The 22,527-nt window shown below is 41.2% G+C and overlaps 1 protein-coding gene and 1 pseudogene across 6 annotated transcripts in view, besides 2 other annotated features; one reads left to right on the top strand and one right to left on the bottom strand.

The window, feature by feature from the left end:
• The window catches only part of XKR6 (XK related 6), a 305,789-nt gene that overhangs the window by 21,847 nt on the left and 261,415 nt on the right, over window positions 1–22,527 (top strand). The gene's annotated exons all lie outside the window — the stretch shown is intronic.
• RPL17P29 (ribosomal protein L17 pseudogene 29) lies at window positions 4,371–4,977 on the bottom strand (annotated as a pseudogene).
• Window positions 18,018–18,067: an enhancer, noted in NCBI's record as "active region_27000". NCBI's record gives its function as "activates an Ori minimal core promoter by ATAC-STARR-seq in GM12878 lymphoblastoid cells {active_cell/tissue: GM12878}" and the evidence as "EXISTENCE:reporter gene assay evidence [ECO:0000049][PMID:35858748]".
• Window positions 20,843–21,042: a silencer, noted in NCBI's record as "silent region_18922". NCBI's record gives its function as "represses an Ori minimal core promoter by ATAC-STARR-seq in GM12878 lymphoblastoid cells {active_cell/tissue: GM12878}" and the evidence as "EXISTENCE:reporter gene assay evidence [ECO:0000049][PMID:35858748]".

Here is a 22,527-nt window from a genome sequence, read left to right as displayed (position 1 = left end):
TTATTTTTTTGCTTTTTGTGAAGATGGGGTCTCGCCATGTTGCCCAGGCTGGTCTTGAACTCCTGGGCTTGAGCAATTCCCCTACATCGGCCTCCCAAAGTGCTGAGATTACTGGCATGAGCCAGTGTGCCGGGCTACTTTTTAAAAAGTCCTGTTTATAATCTGTTTTCTCCCTTGGTAAACTCCTTTAAGGTAGGCTCCGTATTGATTGATCTTTGTCTCCTGCACAGTAATTTGTATATGGTGGAGAGCATTATCTTTCTGGGTGAACAAACAGTGTGAAAGTCCTGCAGTGTTGACACCGAGCAATTGGGCCAAGAGCACCTGAATGATGGTTGGTGAGGACATTGGAAGGTGGAGGAGTCCCCTGATGAAACCTGAGTTGGGCTTCTGTTGAAGGGTAGGACTGAAACTCTAGTGTTTTGAGGGAGGAGAGACAAGGCTATGTAACTATAAAGAAACGTACTTGTGGACACACACACATGTGCATATCAGGGAAGTATTTAATTCTGATAGTACCTTGAGAATAGCCTCAGCCAACCTGGAGGGACTGGTGGCTCAGATGGTGGTTTTAATCTCTTGACTTTGAAATGTTAGGTGGACTGAAAGTATGTAGAGGTTTATTTTAATCTGTCTTTTCTGTATGGTGGCTAAAGTCCAGTATTACCCACTAGAAAATTGTCAGTTAACAGTTACCTAAAGGAATCTACGTGTGTGACAGCTGTCCACCTTGCAGTGGGTCTTCTAGCCAGATGCTTGTTCTTTTTGGGTGACTATACTCGTTTGGTGCTCACAGAACCGAAACCAATCAAAATGAATTAAAAGAAGAGGGCTGGGTGTGATGACTCATGCTTGTAATACCAGCACTTTGGGAGGCTGATGCGGGAGGATTGCTTGAGGCTGAGAGTTCGAGACAAGCCTGGTAACATGGGAGACCCTAGCTCTCCAAAAAAAAAAAAAAAAAAAGAAAAAGAAAATTAGCCAGGTGTGGTCGTGTATGCCTGTAGTTCTAGCTACTTGGGAGGCTGAGGCGGGAAGATTATTTGAGCTTGGGAGACCGAGGCTGCAGTGAGCTGTGATTGTGCCACTGCACTCTACTCTCCAACCTGGGTGCCTGAGTGAGACCCTGTCTCTAAAAAAAAGAAAAAAGGGAAGAAGAGTTCACTTGATATTTTAGCAGCTAAGTGCTTTGTCATTGCTTTTGTGAGTTGTATATAGAGCCAACGTTACCTACCATATGTAAAATTAGAAATTTTCTGTTTGATCCAATCTTTCCTCCATCCCCCCGATATACATATATATATATATATTTATCTCTGTGTATATATATATATTTGTGTGTATGTGTATATATATATTTGTGTGTGTATATATATATATATTTGTGTGTGTGTGTAGTACATATATATATACATATATATATATATATATATATATATTTTTACCTCTCAGATGTTTGGACTTAAAAATTTGGTGTGGTTTTATTAGTGATTTCTCCATGGTTAGGACATTTGGTGTCCTTTATTTTGAACCTCAATGTGCATGTACAAAAAGTTCTTTCTGGTTGGAATTCAGGTGGTGCTCTTTCATAGCCGCTTGATGACCGAAGCCACATAAGACTCATGAGATAATTCATTTTTAATACCTTATGTTTTTTGGCCCATTTGTAGTTTTTAAAGTTTCTTACTATTATTGATCCTTGAGGTTGCTACAGTTCCATCCGGAGCTGATTGTCTAGAGTAGACAGATTTGTTGTTGAGAGTGCAAAATGACTAGTTTGACTGGAATGCATATTTGCAGCCAGTTTTCAGTAATTTTACGCTTAGTAGTTTTCATTAAGATAAGCTGTTTCTCCATGGTGTGGTTTCGTGCCTCTTCTGCCTGGAGTTTGGAAGGCCCGGCTCCTACCCGGTCACTAGGCCCTGCACTCTGCTTTCTGTGCTGTGGCAATCTCCTGCCTCTGTTAGTAAACCAGGTGCGATGGGATCCGTTTTTTTGGTTGCAGTGGAGAAGGACCTCAGACTTCAGGCTTTCCATGTCAGAAAGGGGCTTAGGTGGAGCAGGACATTAGCTCACTGTGTGAGTTTTCTCCTGGGACTACCATCACAAAGTATTTAATCGCAGGAACTGGGTGGGGTTAAACAACAGAAATGTATTCTCTCAGAGCCTGAGGCTAGAAGTCTGCAGTCAATGCGTGAGCAGGGCACTGCTCCCCTGAGATTCTGAGCAGGACCATTCCATGCCCCTTCCTAGCTTCTGGGGTGGCAGTCAACCCTTGGGGTTCCTGGCTTGCAGCCGTCTAACCTCAGCATCTACCTCTGCTGTCACTGGTGTTTTCCCTCTGCGTGTATGTCCAAATTTTCCTCTCCTTATAAGGAAACCGGTCATGTTGGATTAAGGGCCTTGCCTATTCCATTATGACCTCACCTTAAGTTACTACATCTACAGTGACCCTATTTCCAAATTCGGTCATGTTCTGAATTTTTGGGGGAGGGGGTTAGGACTTCCATCTATCTTTTTGGGAGGGAGAATTGAGCCCATAACACTCATGGTCTTTTCTTAGCATAATGGGTTTTGAAACTCTTTTGTAGTTGACCCAGTGTCAGTATGACTAATAAAAAATGAAGGCAGTTTGCTTCCTTGAAGTTTGAGTGTAGGTAACCCTTAAGATAAGGACATTTTGTGTTTATGAAAATATACTGTAATGCAGGTCATAATGTTGGCAAATCTACAGCTTCGCTATAGGAGAGCAGGAAAGAGTCTTTGTAGCTGTGGGAGGTTACACAGCCTGTTGCACCTACCTGCGTGCCAAAGCCCGTAGAAGTGTGGTGTGCCCTCGTTTTCCATCATTTCAACCTGGCACATGGTGCTTTTTCTCCATTTCCTTAGTGCCATGGTCCCAGGCTTTGGAACAAGTTCTCAGATCCTTAGCTTCTCTATCTTTAGAGTGGACACTCTACCTCCCTAGCACAAGGTTTGGATGAGATGACATTGGCGTCCTGTCACCAGTGCATGCATGTTTGCCCTCTCCTCCCCACCTTCTCTTAGCATTGGCCACGCTGAAAGTGGTTGTCAGTGGCACTGCTGGATTCTGTTGCTCTGGTGGCAGGGGCATCTTGCTGCCAGGGTGCCAGACTTTGCCCAGCGTCCAGCTACCTAAAAGTCACCAGGAAGACAGCCAGAGGAGGTCTCCTGCTTGGATTTGGTGGCTTTGCGGGGTGGGGGTTTTCTTTGAGGAAGATACTGCAGATCTAGGGAGATGCCCTAACTGCTGATGGGGCCTAAGAGTCCTCGAGGCTGTGGCACCATGACACCCAGAGTGGCTGGGGCCGACTTCATCTGCCTCCCACCCTGTACTTGAGTAGTCTTAAAATTTTGGGGGATGAGGAATGCTGTGGAGCAGTATCTTAATATTTAGGAAAAGAATTTGATGTAAAATCTGGCTTGACATAATTTCTTTAAAAATATATACAAACGTTGCATAAAGGAATATTTTAATAAAAACACCAGTTAACCAGTATATTTGAAACCATTTTTTCCCAAGTATTGGTGTCATGCTTAAGTTTTCTTTTAGGTGACTTTATTTTTGACATAGTACACGTAACAGATCTTCATTTACCATTTATTATATGAGACATACCACTTGACTCAGCTAAACCTCCGTTTCTGATTCTATAAATTGGAAATAAGAGTAACCATTTTACTCATCTTAGAAATGGTTATAAAGATCAAAACAAAGGATTTATGCATATGTTGGCCAATTCGAGGAGATAATTTCCTAGGGTTATTACAGTTGTGAGATTTTTCCGGTTTCAAAATGGGATAATTTGTAAAGGTGTTTTAAAGATGCTAAGCACAGGTCAGTGATGATCATGTCATTTTGGAAACATTCATTATACAAGCTGGGAACCTTGTAAAATGAGTTTCACAAGGTCATTTGCTTTACACCCACAGAGTAGTGTATATTGCAGCTGATCACATTCTTAGGGGTCAGAAATTAATATTAATTTGTCAGGCTTCAAATGTAAATCAGCATTTCCCTGTTTTTCTTTTGAGAAGACCAAAGTTGCTAACCTGTATTCTTGTTCTTGGATTATGCTGTTTGTAATAAAAAAAGATGGATCATGATGAATGCTGATTAGCACCTTGGGGACTGTTGACGGACGGATGTGTAGTGTATTTTGGAAGGTATGGTGACCACGCTGAGGTATCACTGGGCTAGTAGGAGAAGGAAGCATAGTGTACGGGCTTTAAAAATCATATACTGCCTTCAGAATGAAGTAATTATCTTCAGGTAGATAATCAGAAATTAATTGTTTTTGAGGATTTACAGCAGAGAGACCTGAGGAGTAGATTTTGCAAACAGATTCTTTATTTTTCTTAACTTTTGATTGCATTTATTTTATGCGGAATTTATTCCTGTGCCGTAAGTTTTTATTTCTTCAGTTTCTTCTCAGGTATCTTTTTCTTCGGTGCAACCTCTTCTTCTGATTTAGGAACAATTTGTTCCTTTTCAGTAAGAATCATCTCGATGTGGCTGGGAGAGCCCACGTATGGGTTAGTCCAGCCATGAGCTCTGTAAGTCCGACGGTGCATCTTAGGTGCTTTATTTACCTCGAAATGCTCAATGGCCAGAGAATCTACATGGAAACCCTTAAGTTCAGCGTGACTTTCACCATTTTTAAGCACGTGCAGCAAAAGTTCACCTGTGTCCAGCCCCACTGTTTGGCCTGGGCACACCTACCGACTCTACCATTGTAACATCAGAATGATACCATTTCTGTAAAGTGACATCTTTCAGTTACCTGGTGGCTTTTCATATATGCAACCTCGATGGCCTGGGTAATGTCACAAGTGTTTGTAAAGTGAACATGAAGATTTAAACCTCTTGATTTCATGATTGTGTAGGGTTTTCTGGGTCAAGTGAGTAGTGAACCGTTTTCACAGATCACCTCAGGCCGCTTAGGGGAAGAGCAACAAATTCTTTCAGTTTCCTCTCCCCTGTGATTTTATAAAGTAAATTTTCATGTACCTGTCCTAGAAAGAGGAAAAGGGAACCTAGTAATTCTAAATTACTGTGGAACTTTAGTTAAATACTGTCTTGTCCAGAAGGCAGACTTGGGGCATTTGAAAAGGTGAAGGGGTCCGTTGATCATCCGTTCTCTTGTGCTTCTCTGGTGCTGTGGATGAGATAATGAGAAGCCCTCTAGTATGTGCTCCCGAGACTCCAGGTGAGAGCTAGACTTGGAAAGTGCGAAGGGCAGGGCATCTGTCCTGTAACTGAGCGTGACCTCTGGGTGGTTGGTAAGTAACCAGAGGAAGACACTTGGTGCTCTTTGTAACAGTCGCAGCCGCTTTGTTCCTTGCCTCACAGGAAAGAACAGAATGTCTAATTATAATAATCTTCTAATAATTACAATATTTTGTATTCATTTTCTTTTAAAAATCTGTTTGAGTAACTACTAGCCTTCAGAAGATGCTGGAAAATAGTATTTAGGCAGCAGCTGGCAGCTCCCAGTGTTGGAGTCGATGCGGTGCTCGGCTCGTAAAGATTTCATTAGCTGGACATACACTCTGATTTCCTTCTTGCTGCACAAGTACATTCTGTTGAGCAGCTGTTTTGGAAAGGGAGGTACAATAAACACTTCTGCACTTGTTTTAAATACGTGGGTTTTGTTGCAGTGTCGCTTGCCATCTGGAAGAGAGAGGAGTGAGTGACTTACTGCTTGAGAGGAAGGGTTTGGAATCTCCACGTGTGTTCCTAATGCAATTTGAGGTTCCCTCTCATTTTCATTCACTGAGAGGTGATAATCGGCAGCTGTAGTCATTTTGTTTTGTCAGAGCCTTAGCCAGTGTGTTGCATGGATTAATAGAATTAATAGAAATTAATCGAGTTGGACCTGATCAGTGGTGGTTTTATTTTTTAAAGCAAATGTACAAAGGAAATACATGATGTTGTCAACAAGTCAGAGAAAAATACAGATATGCATAGAATAAATTGTGAAAGTACTCCCCTCATCCCAAAGCACCCGAGGGTAACCCCATCAGCAGTAAGTTGTCATGTTCTTCCCTCTTTTTTTCCCACTGTGTCCCGTCTAATAACTAGGTGTCCAAGTGATCTGTGAGCAGAATTCTTTATTCTAGTAGTGACTTGTGGGTGGGTACATACTGGCAGTCACACACTGGTTCTCTTGAGGCGGCAGTGGCATCAGGGAACTGGTGGGTGGGTTGTGAGCAGAAGAAAACCCTTAAACAGGACCACTGGCCAAAAAGGCTTGCTGTCCAGGTGTAATTGGAATCACAGTAACAACTGCTCCCTCACAGTGGGAGTTTCCCATGTACAGGACACCCAACGCTGTGCATGTGTGTCACTCACTGAACTCTCATGGTGACCCCATCTTACAGATGTGGAAACCCAAGCACACAGAAGTCAGCAGCTTGTCCAGCATCCTGCCGCGTAATAAAGAGATTCCAGTTTAGTCAGTCTGGCTCCAGAATCATGTTCTGACGATGCTGTGCCATCTTGTAGGAGCAGAACTCTGTTCTCTGGGAGCTGTTATATATATATATGTATATGTATATATATATGTATATATATTTGTGTGTGTGTGTGTGTGTGTATATATATATATATATTTTTTTTAAGGCGGAGTCTCGCTTTGTTGCCCAGGCTGGAGTGCAGTGGCACGATCTCAGCTCACTGCAAGCTCTGCCTCCTGGGTTCACGCCATTCTCCTGCCTCAGCCTCCTGAGTAGCTGGGAATACAGGCGCCCGCCACCACGCCCGGCTAATTTTTTTTTTTTTTGTATTTTTTAGTGGAGACGGGGTTTCACCGTGTTAGCCAGGATGGTCTCGATCTCCTGACCTCGTGATCCACCCGCCTCAGCCTCCCAAAGTGCTGGGATTACAGGCGTGAGCCACCGCGCCCGGCCGGAAGCTGTTATATTTTTAACTCATACCTTTTTGGCCCCCAAATCAGGTAAATGGAAATTATAGATCTGTTAATGGCTTAAATACCGGATAATAGATTTTATACAATTGATTGAATGTATAACTTGAAACAGTGTCGCCGCTGCCAGCCTGCCTGCAAGAATCTTTCTTGTGGTTTTGCTTTGTAAAAGTAAATGTTTTCCCCGTGAATCTTCTGTAGTGTTTTATTCTTGGTGTTTTTCTTTGGGGCCTGCATGCTTTCTGGCCTTTGCTCCTGCTGAGTAGGCAGACATATCTGGAGAAAACCATGGAGTAAAGGAAAAGCTTTGGAATTTAAAATTGATTTATGTGGAAGCTTTTTCTGTGGTTGAAAAAAAGTAAAGAAAAACCCTCCTTTCTACATTACCAATTCCCGGCAACAGTAAGCCAAACCTGTTGTATTTGGGAGCAGGCCTGGGTGCATGGAAACTGCTCAGAACAGGGAGGTCAATGCCATTATGATAATCCAGTGACTTCCATGGGAAGCCATCATTGAGAAAGGGTACTTGTGCAGATCTAAAATTTGGAACAAAACACCCTGAAGATGGCCAAACTGATATAACGTTATGTACCTTGGTGGAGTGTCTTGGTCTGTTTGTGTTGCTTTAAAGGAATACTAGAGACTGGGTAATTTTGTTTATTTATTTATTTTTGAGACAGGGTCTGTCGACCAGGCTGAAGTGCTGTGGCTTGATCATGGCTTGCCGCAGCCTCGACCTCCCAGGCTCAGGTGATCCTTCTACCTCAGCCTCCCGAGTAGCTGGGATTACAGGCGTGCACAATAATGCCACGCTAATTTTTGTATTTTTTGTAGAGATGGGTGTTCGCCATGTTGCCCAGGCTATCTCAAATTCCTGGGCTCAAGCAATCTGCTGGCCTCAGGCTCCCAACGTGCTGGGATTATAGGTCTGAGCCACTGTATCTGGCCTGAGACTGGGTAACTTTTTTTTTTTTCTTATTTTTTGACAGGGGATCTTGCTCTGTCACCCAATCTGGAGTGCAATGGCGTGATGTTGGCTCACTGCATACTGTGCCTCCCGGGTTCAAGCGATTCTTTTGCTTCAGCCTCCTGAGTAGCAGGGATTACAGGCACCTGCCACCACGGCTGGCTAAGTTTTGTATTTTTGGTAGAGATGGGGTTTCACCATGTTTGCCATGCTGGTGTTGAACTCCTGACCTCACATGGTCAGCCCACCTCAGCCTCCCAAAGTGCTGGGATTACAGGCGTGAGTCACTGCACCTGGCCCGAGACTGGGTAACTTTTAAAGGAAAAAAGTTCATTTGGTTCATGATTTTGCAGGTTGTACAAGAAGCACGGCCCTGGCGTCTGTTTCCAGTGAGGGCCTCAGGCTGCTTCCACTCATGGCAGAAGGCTAAGAGGGCTTGTGTGTGCAGAGATCACACGGCAAGAAGGAAAGCAGGAGAGAGCCAGAAGGGCTAGGCTCCTTTTAACAACCAGCTCCCGTGGGGACTAAGAGTAAGAATTAACTCCCTATACCCAAGGGAATGAATCTATTCATGAGGCATCTGCCCCCATGACCCAAACACCTCCTGTCAGGCCCCAGTACTGGAGATGAAATTTCAACATGAGATTTGGAGGGGAAAAATATCCAAACTCTATAGCATGGAGTAATGGCATTGAGAGCTGCAACTCTTAATCTCTGGTAATTAGTGGTTAAGTAGACGACAGGATATTTTTCCTTGGGCATGTTTTGAACTCTGTGTGTGTGTGTGCAGTCGCACATGCGTGGGTGTGCACTTAATGATAAAAGCAGCACCATTTGTAATGGCAGTTCATGTTACAGAGTGCCTCATATACAGGTCGGCTGTGTGGTGGACCACACTTCAGCAGATCCTTTCTTTCTTAGCAGTTCTGTCCTTCTACCCAACCAGGCAGTTGACATTTGTGAAAACACAGAGTTTAGGATTTCAAGAACAAAGTATATAAAGATGGTGAAACATTTTCTCAGTTCTTTTTCATGATTTCTAAACTAGGAAGAGTCAAGAATTCAAGATTGCTAATCTAAATTCTGATGTTGGAGTAGTCATTTGTGAAGGGTGATAGAACAGAGTATCATTCTTAGTTACAACAGCAAAGGTTAATTACCTAGTTACCTAGTTCCTCTGTAAATTATTTAAAGCTCAGAATATTCTCCAACATTACAAAGACTTAAAAAGCAAAGGAGAATTTTGAGAATGTACTCCATGCACAGATGCTATTGTTGCGCCCCCTGAGATTTTGCTTCAGTACTTGAGATGTGTATCAGAATGTTGAAGGGCAGCAATGATGTGTAACAGTTTTATTAAGATATAATTAACGTACTACAAAATTTACCCACTTAGATTGTGCGATTGTTTTTTGTATCTTCACAGAGTTGTGCAACGATTACCACAAATGTGCTAATTTTAGCACATTTTTAATCCTACAAAAAAGAAACCCTGCATCCATTGTAGTCACTTCTCATTTTCCCTTTCCCAGCCCCTGGGAACTGCTAACCTGTAGTCTGTGTCTGTAGAGTTGCCTAGTCTGGACATTTCATTAATGAGTCATAGAATGTGGTCTTTTGTGATTAACTTCTTTTACTTTCACATAATGTTACAAGGTTCATCCATGGTATAGCCTGAATCAATACTTCACTCCTTTTTATGACTGACTAATATTCCATTGGATGGATCTACCACATTTTGTTCATCCTTTTAGTATTTGAGTTGGGAACATTTGGTTGTTCCCAGTATTTGACTTTTATGAACATAATAAGGCTGCTAGAATTCCTGTAACAAGGCTTTGTGTGGATGTGAGTCTTAATTTTTGTTGGATATATACCTAGGAGTGGAGCTGCTGGGTCTTATGATAATTCTGTGTTTAACTTTTTGAGGAGCTGCAAAGGGCAGCAATTTAGCACTCTGATTTATTCTTTTTTTCAGTACAAGACATTATCTAATAACCAGAAACTTGTTCAACTTAGATCTAACGTCAGATCCAGCTAGGAGTTGCAGACTTCCATTTTCAAGTCTCTCCAAGAGAAATTTTGTTATGTATGTCTATGAGATCACAATGACTGTCCCATCTCTCTCTCTCTTTTCCCCACTTTTTTATATTAAAAATTTATTGTAAAATATACGAACACAAAATATACCATTTTAATCATTTAAATTTTTATTGTGTTAAAATATATATAGTGTAAAATTTATCATTTTTACCATTTTTGCACTTGATCTTAGCCAAAAGGCAAAGAAACAGTTTAATCATTTTAAAGTGTACAGTTCACTGGCATGAGGTAGATTCACAGTGTTGTGCAATTATCACCACTGTCCATTTCCAGAACTTTTTCTTCATCCCTAGCAGAAACTCTGTACCCGTTAAATACTAACTTCCCATTTTCTCCTTTCTCCAGCCTCTGATAAACTGTATGCTAATTTCTCTCTGACTTTGCCTGTTTTAAGTGCCTCATGTAAGTGGAATTGTATGATATTTGTCCTTCTGTATCTGGCTTATTTAACTTAGCATAATGTTTTCAAGGTGTCCATGGTCTAACATATATCAGAGTTTTGTTCCTTTTTTTTAAGACCAAATAATATTCCATCCTGTAGATATTTACTACATTTTGTTTGTTGATTTCTAGCTTCAGTGCATCATGGTGGCAAAGTATACTGTTAGAGTGTCACCAATGCACCACAATGTAGCAGTCTCTCATTGTGAGGTAGCACCTGAAGTTCTTTGTCTCATGACTAAGAAAATTAAGGAGCATGGACACAAAGGGTGAGCTTGGAGCAAAAGTTTAAAAGTTTAATAAGCAAAAGAAGAAAGCTCTCTGCCTCAGAGAGGGTGCCTGGAAGAGGGTTGCCAACTATGAGGCTAGATTTGGGGTTTTTATGGACTGGGCAGGGAAGGAATGTGCTGACTGGTCTTGGAGAAAGCCTACTCAGCTTGGCCTGGGACCACTCAGGAGCTGAAGTGAAAGCTTGGTCCAGGACCTTGGCCTGGGACCTTGTCCTGGGACCAGTCAGAGGCTGAAGCGATGATTCATAGAGGCTTGGCAAACAGTCCAAATCATGTCCAAAAAAGGAAAGCAAAGTGCCCACAGGAACCCAACAGAGCCCACTGCGTACATGCCCACAGAAGGAAAAGAGACTATTTCCTGGAAGCCCACTGGTTATACAAAGAACAAAGGCATTTCTGGGTTGGGCCTTGTTCCTGTATCTGAGTGGGCTGGATGTTTGTGCGAGTTTTCTTATCTGTGCCTGCAGCCTGATTTTTCAGGCTGTTTCTCTTTTTAAAGGAGTTTTGCCAAGGACCTACCCTAACTACCTAACTTTCTCTATCAATACTTTGTATGACTTCAGTCTTTTTAAATTCATTGAGACTTGCTTTGTGGACAAACATAGTCTCTTCTGGAGAGTATTCCATGTAAACTTTAGAAGAATGTGTGTTCTGCTTTGTTTGAAAAAATGTTCTGTATATGTCTGTTAGATCTAGTTGGTTTATGTGTTGTACAAATTCTCTGTTTCCCTATTTATCTTTTGTCAAGTTCTTCTATCTGTTATTGAATAGGATGTATTGAAGTCTATTATTCTAGAGCTTTCTACGTCTCACTTTAGTTGTGTCAGTGCTTGCTTCCTATATTTTGGGACTCTATGTTTGGTGCATTTATGTTTATAATTATTATATCTCCGATTGAATTTATTCTTTAATCAAATATAGTATCCTTCTCAACTTCAACAACATATTGATATTAAGCATATTTAAGAAAGTTGCTTTGTAAAGTCTTTGTGTAGTAAGTACAATGTCTGGCCTTCTCAGGGACATGTTCTGTCAGTTAATTTCGTTCCTTTGAATGGGCTATACTTTTTCCTTATATGCCTTAGGATTTTGTTGCTGTTGAAAATGGGGTGTTTGAAAATTACAGTGTTGTGTCTCTGGAAATCAGAGTCTCCTCTTTCACCGAGGTTTGCTTTTTTTGTTGTTTTTGGTTTTATGTATCTCTTTTTTTTGTCAAGTGACTTTTCCCAACTATTTTTGTAGGGATTATATTCCTTGTCTTGTGTGGTCACTGAAGTCTCTGTTTCTTAGTTAATCTTCTGGTACTGTTTTTTTTGTGTGTGGTTTTTTTTTTTTTTTTTTTTTTAAGAGATGGGGTCTTACTCTGTCACCCAGGCTTGGCAGGAGCCACTGTGCCTAGCCTGGTAGTGTTTTGACAGAGATTTCCTTGAATGCCAGGAGCTAAAACAAATAAACAAACAAAAATACTTTTTCCAGTTTTTGCAGGTTGGCTCTTTGCTGGGGCCCTCCTTCAATAGTGAGCCAGACTTGTGTCTAGGCTAGTATTTAGCCTAAGGTGAAAAAGCTTAAGGTCTTCCTGGGTTTTATTCTGAGCATGTGTGTGGCTTTCTAATTTCACCCATATATATGGATGCTTTTGATTGCCCTAATTTCCTAAGGTAACTTTCTTCACGTCTTTTCTTCCCAGACCTCAGGTCATGTGTTGCATGTCTCATTTGTACTCTTTGACCCCAGGTGTCTGGATTGTTTTTGGGCAATGCCAACCACTTCCAGCCTGGATGAGTTTTGAGTTTTAAGCATGAACCTTGTCAAGTATCCCTGACAGGTTGGAATGGAGTCACTAAAAATTTATGAATGCGTTCTACTTGTTCCTATTGGAACCAGGGACCAGGGTCCCATTCTTGGAATATGGGCTGCCATCACACTGGGAGGAGATAGGGCAAAGGCAAATAAGAATGCCGTAAAGCTTTCCTATCCTTTGAAGTTCTTGATTCAGTGTTCAGTTGGTTGCTGTAAGCATTTCACTGTTTTCCAGAGTTCTGACAAAGTTAGTTCTGACAGTTGGTGCTTGTTTTTTGATGGTTTAGGTGCAGGGAGGTGTATGGGCACTTGGAATTGTCTACTCTGACATTTTTTCGACATCTCCCAGTCAGCCTTGTTCTCTTGCAGTAGTCCATTTAAAAACCCACAGAAGCCTTTCCTTCTACCACCGCCACACACGCTGCAGGCAACAGATGCCACCTTACTTGTCATACCCTCTTCCTGTATCTCCCTGGCAATCACCTCAATTTCTGTTGTATTTTTGGTATAGTTATTAGCTGAATACTAGTGTTAATATTTTCCCTATTAAATGTTAGGTTAAGCCGGGTGCGGTGGCTCACGCCTGTAATCTCAGCAGTTTTTGAGAGGTCGAGGCGGTTGGATCACCTGAGGTCACGAGTTCCAGACCAGCCTGGCCAACATGGTGAAACCCCGTCTCTGCTAAAAACACAAAAATTAGCTTGGTGTGGTGGTGGGCACTTGTAATCCCAGCTACTTGGGAGGCTGAGGCAGGAGAATCGCTTGAACCTAGGAGGCAGAGGTTGCAGTGAGCCAAGGTCACGCCATGGCACTCCAGCCTGAGCGACAAGAGTGAAACTCCATCTCAAAAATAAATAAATAAATAAATATTAGATTAAATAAACATTAAATTAAATGCACTAAATATTAGATTTTTGAAAAATCTTTTGTGATGTCTTAGTCCATCACGGCTGCTATAACAAAATCCCACCATAGACTAGGTTGTCTATAAGCAACGGCCCTTTATCTCTCACAGTTCTTGGGGGTTTGGTTTTAATGCATGAATTTAGCTGGGAAACAAACTTTCAGACCATAGCAGATGCCTTGTGATCTTCATGACACCTTGAGGCCACATTTTGGGATTTTTCCCCCACTGTGAACACGCAATCCTGAAATGACCCAAAGCAGCGATAAATATGATTTGGTTTATATACAACTTTATAGTAACATCTTCACTGGAAAATGAAGGATAGTTCAATGGTCTTTTTCCTCTTCAGTGAATAGTATGGCTGGCCAACATGGCAAAACCCCGTCTCTGCAAAAAATACAAAAATTAGCTGGGCATGGTGGCATGCGCCTGTAAATCCCAGCTACTCGGGAGGCTGAGGCAGGAGATTTGCTTGAATCCAGGAGGTGGAGGTTGCAGTGAGCTGAGATCACACAACTGCACTCCAGTCTGGGTGACAGAGTGAGACTCCATCTCAAAAAAAAAAAAAACCCAAAAAACTATATATATATATATACATGAATGTATCCATCAAACAGTGGTCATTGCACGTGGCTTTTTCAGAACTTATGGTTCCTTCATGTAACGTGAGATATAGTATAGGACACAGTATATGCAGGAGAAGACAAGTTCTACCATTGTACGTGAGCTAGAAATGATCATCTCAACAAGAATTTCAGGCTCTTTGATGCAAGAATGTATGGTGTCTTTCTGGTGTTCCTTGGCCACTTCTGTCTTTGATGAATCATTTTGATACTGGATTGGGATTCACTGTTAATTTTTCAGGAGTACAGTCTAAGAGTTAATACACTGCATTTATTTTGAAGACTGAGTAGAGGAAAACTAGAAAAAGAGTTGCTAGTAAATTATAATTATGGTTTCTGCTAATCAAATAAGGATGCCGATGCCCAAGAGAGCATGCCATCTTCTTCATCATCCCTCATTGCCCTCACCTTGTGTGTCCAGGTTTAAACTGGAAATATCATTTGGTTAAAATTCTCCCTAAAACTAAAGAAGTACACCTGCAGTTCTTTGCTTAAAATAGCGATAGCCAGCTGGGCACTGTGGCTCATGCCCGTAATCCTAGCACTTTGGGAAGCCGAGGTGGGCAGATCATGAGGTCAGGAGTTCAAGACCAGCCTGGCCAACATGGTGAAACCCCATCTCTATTAAAAATACAAAAATTAGCTAGGTGTGGTGGTGCACACTTGTAATTCCAGCTACATGGGAGGCTGAGGCAGGAGAATCATTTGAACCTGGGAGGCGGAGGTTGCAGTGAGCCAAGATCGTGCCATTGCACTCCAGCCTGGGTGACAAAGCGACACTCTGTCTCAAAAAAAAAAAAAAAAAAAAAAAAAAAGGTGATAGCCTAGGGAATGGTTGTGTTACTCAGTATTGACATGCTGCTTCAGGGGATTTTCTTGGATTCAAGGCGTATCTTAACCCTGTTGGTACCTCTGGTTCTTTGGTGTACTTAAGCACATATCTCCTTTAAACCTCCTATTAGTAAGGTGAAGTGGGAAGGTAGGCAGGTGGGATGACCTTTGTTTCACAGATTTGTAAGCAAAGCTTTAGTGCCATTGTTTCTTAATTAAGTGATGGTGTTGGTATGGGAGACAGGTCTCAGGTATACAAGGCTAGGAGTGGTCTTGAGAATATTTTACATGTGACAAATGGATATTGAGAAATAGTTACATGGTTAGAGAAGAACAGTGTAGTTAGGAATTAATGGATGGAAAAGAAAAGGGGGATCCTAAGAATCAAAGACCCTCTCTATTGTGGCATGTATGTTTGTGTGTATTTAGTTGTATCTGTCTGCGTGTGTTTGTTTATTGATTGTGTTTTGGCCACATACCTTATAATGTAATGCTTTTGAAAGTGACAAAGCCATATATCTTTTAAGATAGGGACTTAAAACAAGAACCTCTTGAATTTTCACTTTATTTCATTCTTTTCTGCTTTTTTCCCTTTCGGATCTTTTATTTTCCCCACAGGAACCCATAGGGGAGAAGACTTAGAATAACGTAAATGCAGGGGCGATGAAACTGAGGAGAAAGGGCTAATGACAGCCCTGAGTAAGTGCTGGGAAAAGAGCCTGGACCCCAGGGGTGGAGAAAAGGAAAAAGTCTAGCGAGTACCTAAGTAATTGACCTCGTTCCTAGCATGGCTGCTATGCCACACAATTACAGAGTGTGATATTGTAAAGGATCAGAGAACTGTGGGCTCTGCTTGAGGCACTTTCAAACCTCACTGCTCTACCTGAATTGAAGCTGAAGCCTGTGGGATGATTGACTTCTGACTTTCTGGCAGTGAATAGGCAGACCCAGAAGGGAAGTGGGTAGGAAGTAGTGCTGGCCTGGCCCTGTTTATCTTCCCCACTGTAGGCAGGGGGATTGTACACTTGAAATCAGCATGAGAGTGGCCCCCCAAAACATGCTCACATTACTGTTTGGAAGCATGTGTCTGAAGTTAGCTACATAGCTGGGTTTGAGGGATGGTTGTCTTTGTGATGTCTCTCTCTACTTTTGGCCTGCATGTATTTTCCAGTGAGGGCTGGGGCAGGGACCACAGAGAAGATTTAGAACAAAGTTAAGTTCCAACCCTTCATTTAGCCCTGTGACCTAGGTAGAACAAGCTACTCTACTCTCTTTGCCACAGTTCCTCAACTGTAAAATGTGATAACAATGATACATTTACCTCAGAGGAAGAAGAAATGAGTTTATGTGCTCAGGCAGTGCCTAGCACAAAGTCAGTGCGGTAGAAATGTGGTCTGGGGTAGCAGACCACGCAAACAACAAAGCAATGCGTTCTATTCCTCCTGAGTGTCTCGACCACATTCAGTGCATATTTTGTTATTCACTATTAGTTTTCTAAATGTTTGCCCTTAGACTTTGTTGTAGGACTTCATTTTGTCGTAGTTACCTATCTCCAGCGGATGCAGGGAAATAGTTACAGATGTGACGAAAGAAAGACATGGTGTATGCAGATTTGGTGGATTTTGTGAGCTTTTTGATTCTAGGTGAGGACTTGGGAAATGATAATGGTGACAAGAGATAAAGTCTCTGATGTGCCAGTCACATTTTCCCTGCAACAGTAATCATTTGTTAGAACTCAATGCAAATAGAAATATACTTGATAATACATTCTTCTGGGTAATATAAGCTGTGCAATGCTTATACTTTATGCAAAACTATATGTTTAAAATCTGCTCATGTTTAAAGAATGGTGATTATTACGACTGGCCCTCACAGAGCATGGTTTAATATTTTCTAACAATTTTTATTATTAAATTTGTGGATTTTATGATCATTTTAAATGGTGCTGATTTTATTCGAAAATAATTTTAGGTTTACTGTGGTATTATTTTATTAAATGGTTCTAGTTTCCTTGTTTTCCTGTACAAGTAGAACCAATTGGATAAAATAACCTGTTTCTCTTTAAAGAAGAGCTGTTTTCTTTTTCTGTAAGTGACATTTTTGCAGGCTCATGGTCCAAAACGATTAGCTAGACTGAGAATAAGGTAAGTGATGAATTAGCAAAAATTTCTGTGAACTCCTAAAACACTCTTACCTTGTAGCTATGCTAGGATAGGAATATTGGAGGTGACATCACTGTTAGTGGTAATGGCTTAAATTGAAACACTTCGGCTTCTTACAAAGTTCTTTTTCTGGCTCCCAAGTGTCAGCCTGACAGACCGTCTTAAAACCTGGAGGTTCAGTGCCTTACTGGGTTAACCAGTAGGCCTTTTGTAAGAATGTTTAAAAATTTTTAGAAAGTCAGAAGTTGGACTGTTTTAAATAATCAAAACAACTAGTGAAGTTTCTCCTTTGTAATTTATGGAGAAGGAAATATGTTTTGTAATTTTTACCTGCCAAATTATTAAAATTTTCACTTTGCAATTTAGCTGCTTTTAAATGAAATTTGAAACAAAACTACCTGGTACTTGATTATAATTAAAAAAGAGAGTTTTTTGTTTGTTTTTTTGTTTTGTTTTGTTTTTCCTTCCACAATTGATCACGATTACTCTACTCTAGGTTGTGACCTTGGTGAATCTGATATCACCATTTGGAAAATTAAGGCCCTAAAGCTGGAGTGAGTTTGGGAGGCTGGAGTGTAGCTCTTCAGGGCCAAGGGGGAGAAGGCGGCTTTTCCTGGGTTTACTCTGTGGTGAGCAGATCAGTCCTTGTTTCATTTAAACAGCCCACGGGCAGCAACCACTTCTCCTCAACTTTCCCAGCTTTCTCTACCTTTAACTCTTGGATTATAGTTTCTTTGCTAATTCTTTTGAAAACATTTGGCTTCCTTTTACAATTAGGTGGGTCCCTGTGTAAGCAAATAAAAAGCTTTCTATCTTGGTCATATCACTTTATTTCTCTGGGTCAGTTTTTTTACATATAAAATATGATGAAGTTGGATTGCTTTCTAGATGTAGAACTCTGTGAAGTGGGACGAGATGAGAAAAGGTCCTCTGGTGGGCCTTCCTCTTTTCTTTTTCTTTCTCATTTTGCTCAGTTCCTTGTATTCACTACAACCTGGGTAAGTAAGTAAAATTTATCTTTAGAAAGGCAAGCTAACCCTTCTTTCATTTCCGTCTTTTTCAGTGAAGCCAACCAGAATTTTGAGTTGCAGGTACCTGATGATATACTTCAGTAAATATTTTATAATTTTACAAATATATTAAATATTAAAATACCAATAATAAGAAAGTTTCTGTGATAGCTTCCAAAGTGATTGACTGACTAATCAGTAAGATTTACTAAGGACTTAAAATGCTCCCAACATAGTAAAGAACTATAGGAGCCACTGAAAGTGTTTACAGTATATGAGAAAGATGAAAACATCTGAAAGAAAGAACTGCCAGGCACTAAATCATGCTCTGCTGAGTGAGTGTGCCCCAGCATGGGGATGATGTGTGCATTGTGGTCATTGTTAGCACCTACTGAGTTTAGTTGTAGTTCAGTTGTAGTTTGTGAGATGCAAGTTATGGGTGAGTGAAAAGAGTTAAAGACAATCTAGGTTTTTAGGGACATCATGAGCAAAGGCACTAGACGGGAATTAGGCTGGTTCAGGTGAGGAGAGGAGAGGAATGAAGAGAGGGTATGGATAGCTTTGTGATATGGACACTGAGTAGGCACTTGAAGGAGTAGAAGACTTACCAAGGTAGGTACTGGTGGTGGCAAGATAACTCTAGACCCCATTCAGAGGAGTTTAGATTGGAGGGAGGGAGATACTCGGAAGCGTTTGTGTTGGTTCCTTGAATTCCATCCTATATCTTTGATTTCTTGAATTTAATTTCTACCAGGTACTCTGCCTAGATCAGTTCCTGTTGGCAGTTTTGATTTGACTGGATGTTTTAACAAGTCCTCTTAACTTTGCTTTATTCTAATCTGGTTATAATATTATGGAATCTTAAAAATCTTAAGGTTAGAAGGGCCCATATTCACAACCAGTACAGGAGCCACACCCTGAATTTTTGAAGTAGTTATTCTGTTTCTGAATGTGTGAACCCTTTTTTTTTCTTTTTTTTTTTTTTTTTTTTGAGACGGAGTCTCGTTCTGTTGCCCAGGCTGGAGTGCAGTGGTGTGATCTCGGCTCACTGCAACCTCCGCCTCCCGGGTTCAAGGGTTTCTCTTGGCTTAGCCTACCGAGTAGCTGGGACTACATACAGGCAAGTGCCACCATACCCAGCTAATTTTTGTATTTTTAGTAGAGACGGGGTTTCAGCCTGTTGGCCAGGCTGGTCTCGATCTCTTGACCTCGGGATCCACCCGCCTTGGCCTTGCAAAGTGCTGGGTTTACAGGCGTGAGCCACCACGCCCAGCCTGTGAACCATTTTTTAAGGCATCATTACATTGGTAGATTTCATTCAGAGGTTAAAGTCTGCCTTTCCTCGCTTTATCTGAGCTATACAAAGTCTACTTTTTCAGTATTGGAGCCCCTCAGACAGTGGAAGACAGTTATGATGCCTCCTTCTAAACTTTATTTATTTTCTTTGTCTAAATATTTCACTGTCTCTTCCTTTTATTTCAGGATTCCCCATCATTATTCCTTTTTTTTTTCCCCATAAAGGCCATCTCAGCTTCAGACTCACCATTATTCCTGTCCATCATCTGTATATGCTGCATCTTATTGACTACTCAGAATTGAACATAATATCCTTTTAAAAAAATAAATTGTGATGTTTTTAGCAGCAAACAACAGAAAATCCCTACTTATCTGGCTGAAACAATAAGGAATTTACTTTTTTTTTGTTTCTGACGTACATTTTCTTCATATGTGATTATTTCTGAAATTGAGACACGTGGTCCATTTAAATGCATGGTGTGTCAGTTTGTTTGACAACATTTTTTCCTCACGATGATTAACAAAATAATGATGCATCTTAACCACTGATGAGTCTTACATTTGATGAAATGTGATAATATCTCACATATCAGCAGCTCCTATAGGTAGTGCAGATTCCTGGTTGGTTATTTTATCGGCTTGATTCCATCAAGGACCCAGCGTGGTGGATCTGCTTTTGGCTTGCCCTTGGGGTCATGAGATAGCTGCAGCGGGTCTAAGCATCATATCTCTAATCAACAACATTCTAAAGGCCAGAAGAGATAAGGTACCTTCTTTGTGTTCATTTTTAAGAGTAAGCAAAATTTCTAGAAGTTGCCCCTCCTTGGCTAGAATTGTTGTATACCCCATTTCTAAACTTAGAGATACGCAGTTGCCATTATTAGTTCAGTGGTTCTTGGTCAGTAGTTTTCAGACTGGTCTGCATCAGAATGACTTGGAGGACTTATCAAAACACAGATTGCCAGGCCCCACCTGAAGAGTTTCTGCTCTAGTTTGGATTGGGGACTGACAATTTGTGTTTTTCACAAGTTCCTGATTGAAGCTGATGCTGCTGATGTAGGGAATGGGGATGGGTCCAGCCTGCCTGAAAGCACATGGCAAGCTGATGGCCATACAGAAGCAGCGTCTGTTAGCAGAAAGTGAGGCGGGGCAGCTGTGAGGACAGCAGCTGTTCTTTTCTCTCGCGATCTAGGTCAGTATTTGCCATAGCTGTCGTAACAGACTGCATTGTGGTCATTACTTGGGGGTTGTATAGACTATGTTATTAGTAAAGTAAGTTTTGAGAATGACTTACTTAAATTATATGCAGCAGTGGATCAAGTAAGTTGAAGATAATGTTTGTTATTCTCTGATGACATGCTTTCTAGAGGGTGAAGGACAAGGGTCATTGAGACCCCAAAGAATTGGGTACCCCTCTGGGAATATATGGTGGATGTTAGTAACAGCTGATGTGTATTAACTCATTGAAACGGCCAACTAAATTCATGAGCTAGTACTGTTAATGTCCACCTGTCTCAAGGAGGAAACTGTGGCTTAAAGAAGGTAAGTAATTTGCCTAATGTCATACAGCTTGTAAATGGTAGAACCAGGTTTCAGAACCATGCAGTTTGGCCTCACAAGCCACACTTTTAATCACGTGTCCTACTGAGTGCCGGCAAGCGGGTCCTCAGTTGCAGGAAGGGTAAGACTGAGAGGTTCATTTTATGTTCTTGGCTTGTATGCAGTATGGTGGGATTAGTGTTCTGGTAATTATTCCCTTTCTCCTAGGCTTATCTCTGCCTATATTTTTGCATTTGATGTACTTGAACCTAAGCGTAGAACTTAAAAAATTGTGTTAGCTGTGTCTGTCCGTTTCGTCATCTTTGCATTTAGAAGCCTGCCATTCCTGTCTGTGCACATGCTGGAGGGATATACGATTGTATAAATAGAATTGAGCACAGAGACCTGTGTTTAAACGTTTTGTTTTGTTTTTTTGCTATTGATGGAGGTGGATTCTTTTCATAAGAGGGATTGTGTTGGTCAGGGTCTCAATGGCGACTAATGAAGTAAACACAAAGGTTTTTAGTTGCTCCATAATTGTTGGGAAAGCTAAAGAAACTCAAGGCGAAGTTTCTAGGCACAGCTCCTGAAGCAGAGTGAAAATCCGGTTGTCTGATTTCTTGCCAGGCCCTGCCTAGCACTTTCAGCTGTAGCCATCCTGAACAACTGGTCATGTTCTCTTGCTTGTAGTCTTTGTGGATGCTGTTTTCTTTCTCTGGTACACTCAGTCTTCCTCTTTTCTTGGCGAGTGCTTCTCATCCTTCAGGCCCTATTCTAAGTGTTACTTTTAAATTTTTCCTGGTCCTTCCATAATAATCTCGCTCAGACCGTTAGATGCTTCTGCTCTCTGCTTCCATTGCACACTGTATTTCCCCTGTCATTATGGCTGACGATTGATTATTGCCTTTCCCCACTCCTCACTGAGTCCCGGTGCCTGGCACAACACCATGCTTGAATGTAGCAAGTTGGGTGGTTCAGAATTGAAAAGTCACTGATTACACGTTTGAAGCTTCATCATCAAGAAATAGATACCAATCACCAACTTTTAAGTTGTAATTTATAATTTTCATAATTGCAATTGACTCAACAGATTTTTGCTTTGGTTTGAGTGTAACACCCTTTATAACATATCTAATGCCGCTTGATGGAGATTGGATAACTGGCCTGTTTGCTAATAATTCTTTGAAGTTTGGAAACTGGGAATCTCAGAGATTTGTAACTAGATAAAAGAGACTCTAAGAAATAAACATTTTGGCCAGGCATGGTGGCTCACGCCTGTAATCCCAGCACTTTCGGAGGCCAAGATGGAAGGATTGCTTGAGACCGGGAGATTGAGCCCAGCAACATGGTGAGACCTTCATCTCTACCAGAAAAACCCCAAAGAATTAGCTATGTATGGTGGCATGCACCTATAGCCCTAGCTAATAGAGAGTCTGAGGTGGGAGCATCCCTTGGGTCCAGGAATTCGAGGCTGCAGTGAGCTATGATCACGCCACTGCACACCAGCCTGGGCAACAGAGAGAGACTGCATCTCTAAAAATCATACATACATACATACATACATACATACATACATACATACCTTTTATTTTAAAATAATTTTAGGTT

This window comes from Homo sapiens, chromosome 8 (genome assembly GCF_000001405.40).
Source record: "Homo sapiens chromosome 8, GRCh38.p14 Primary Assembly".
NCBI classification, from domain to species: Eukaryota; Metazoa; Chordata; class Mammalia; order Primates; family Hominidae; genus Homo; species Homo sapiens.
The sequence above is the reverse complement of the archived record's forward strand: the minus strand, read 5'-3'. Positions and strand labels throughout refer to the sequence as shown.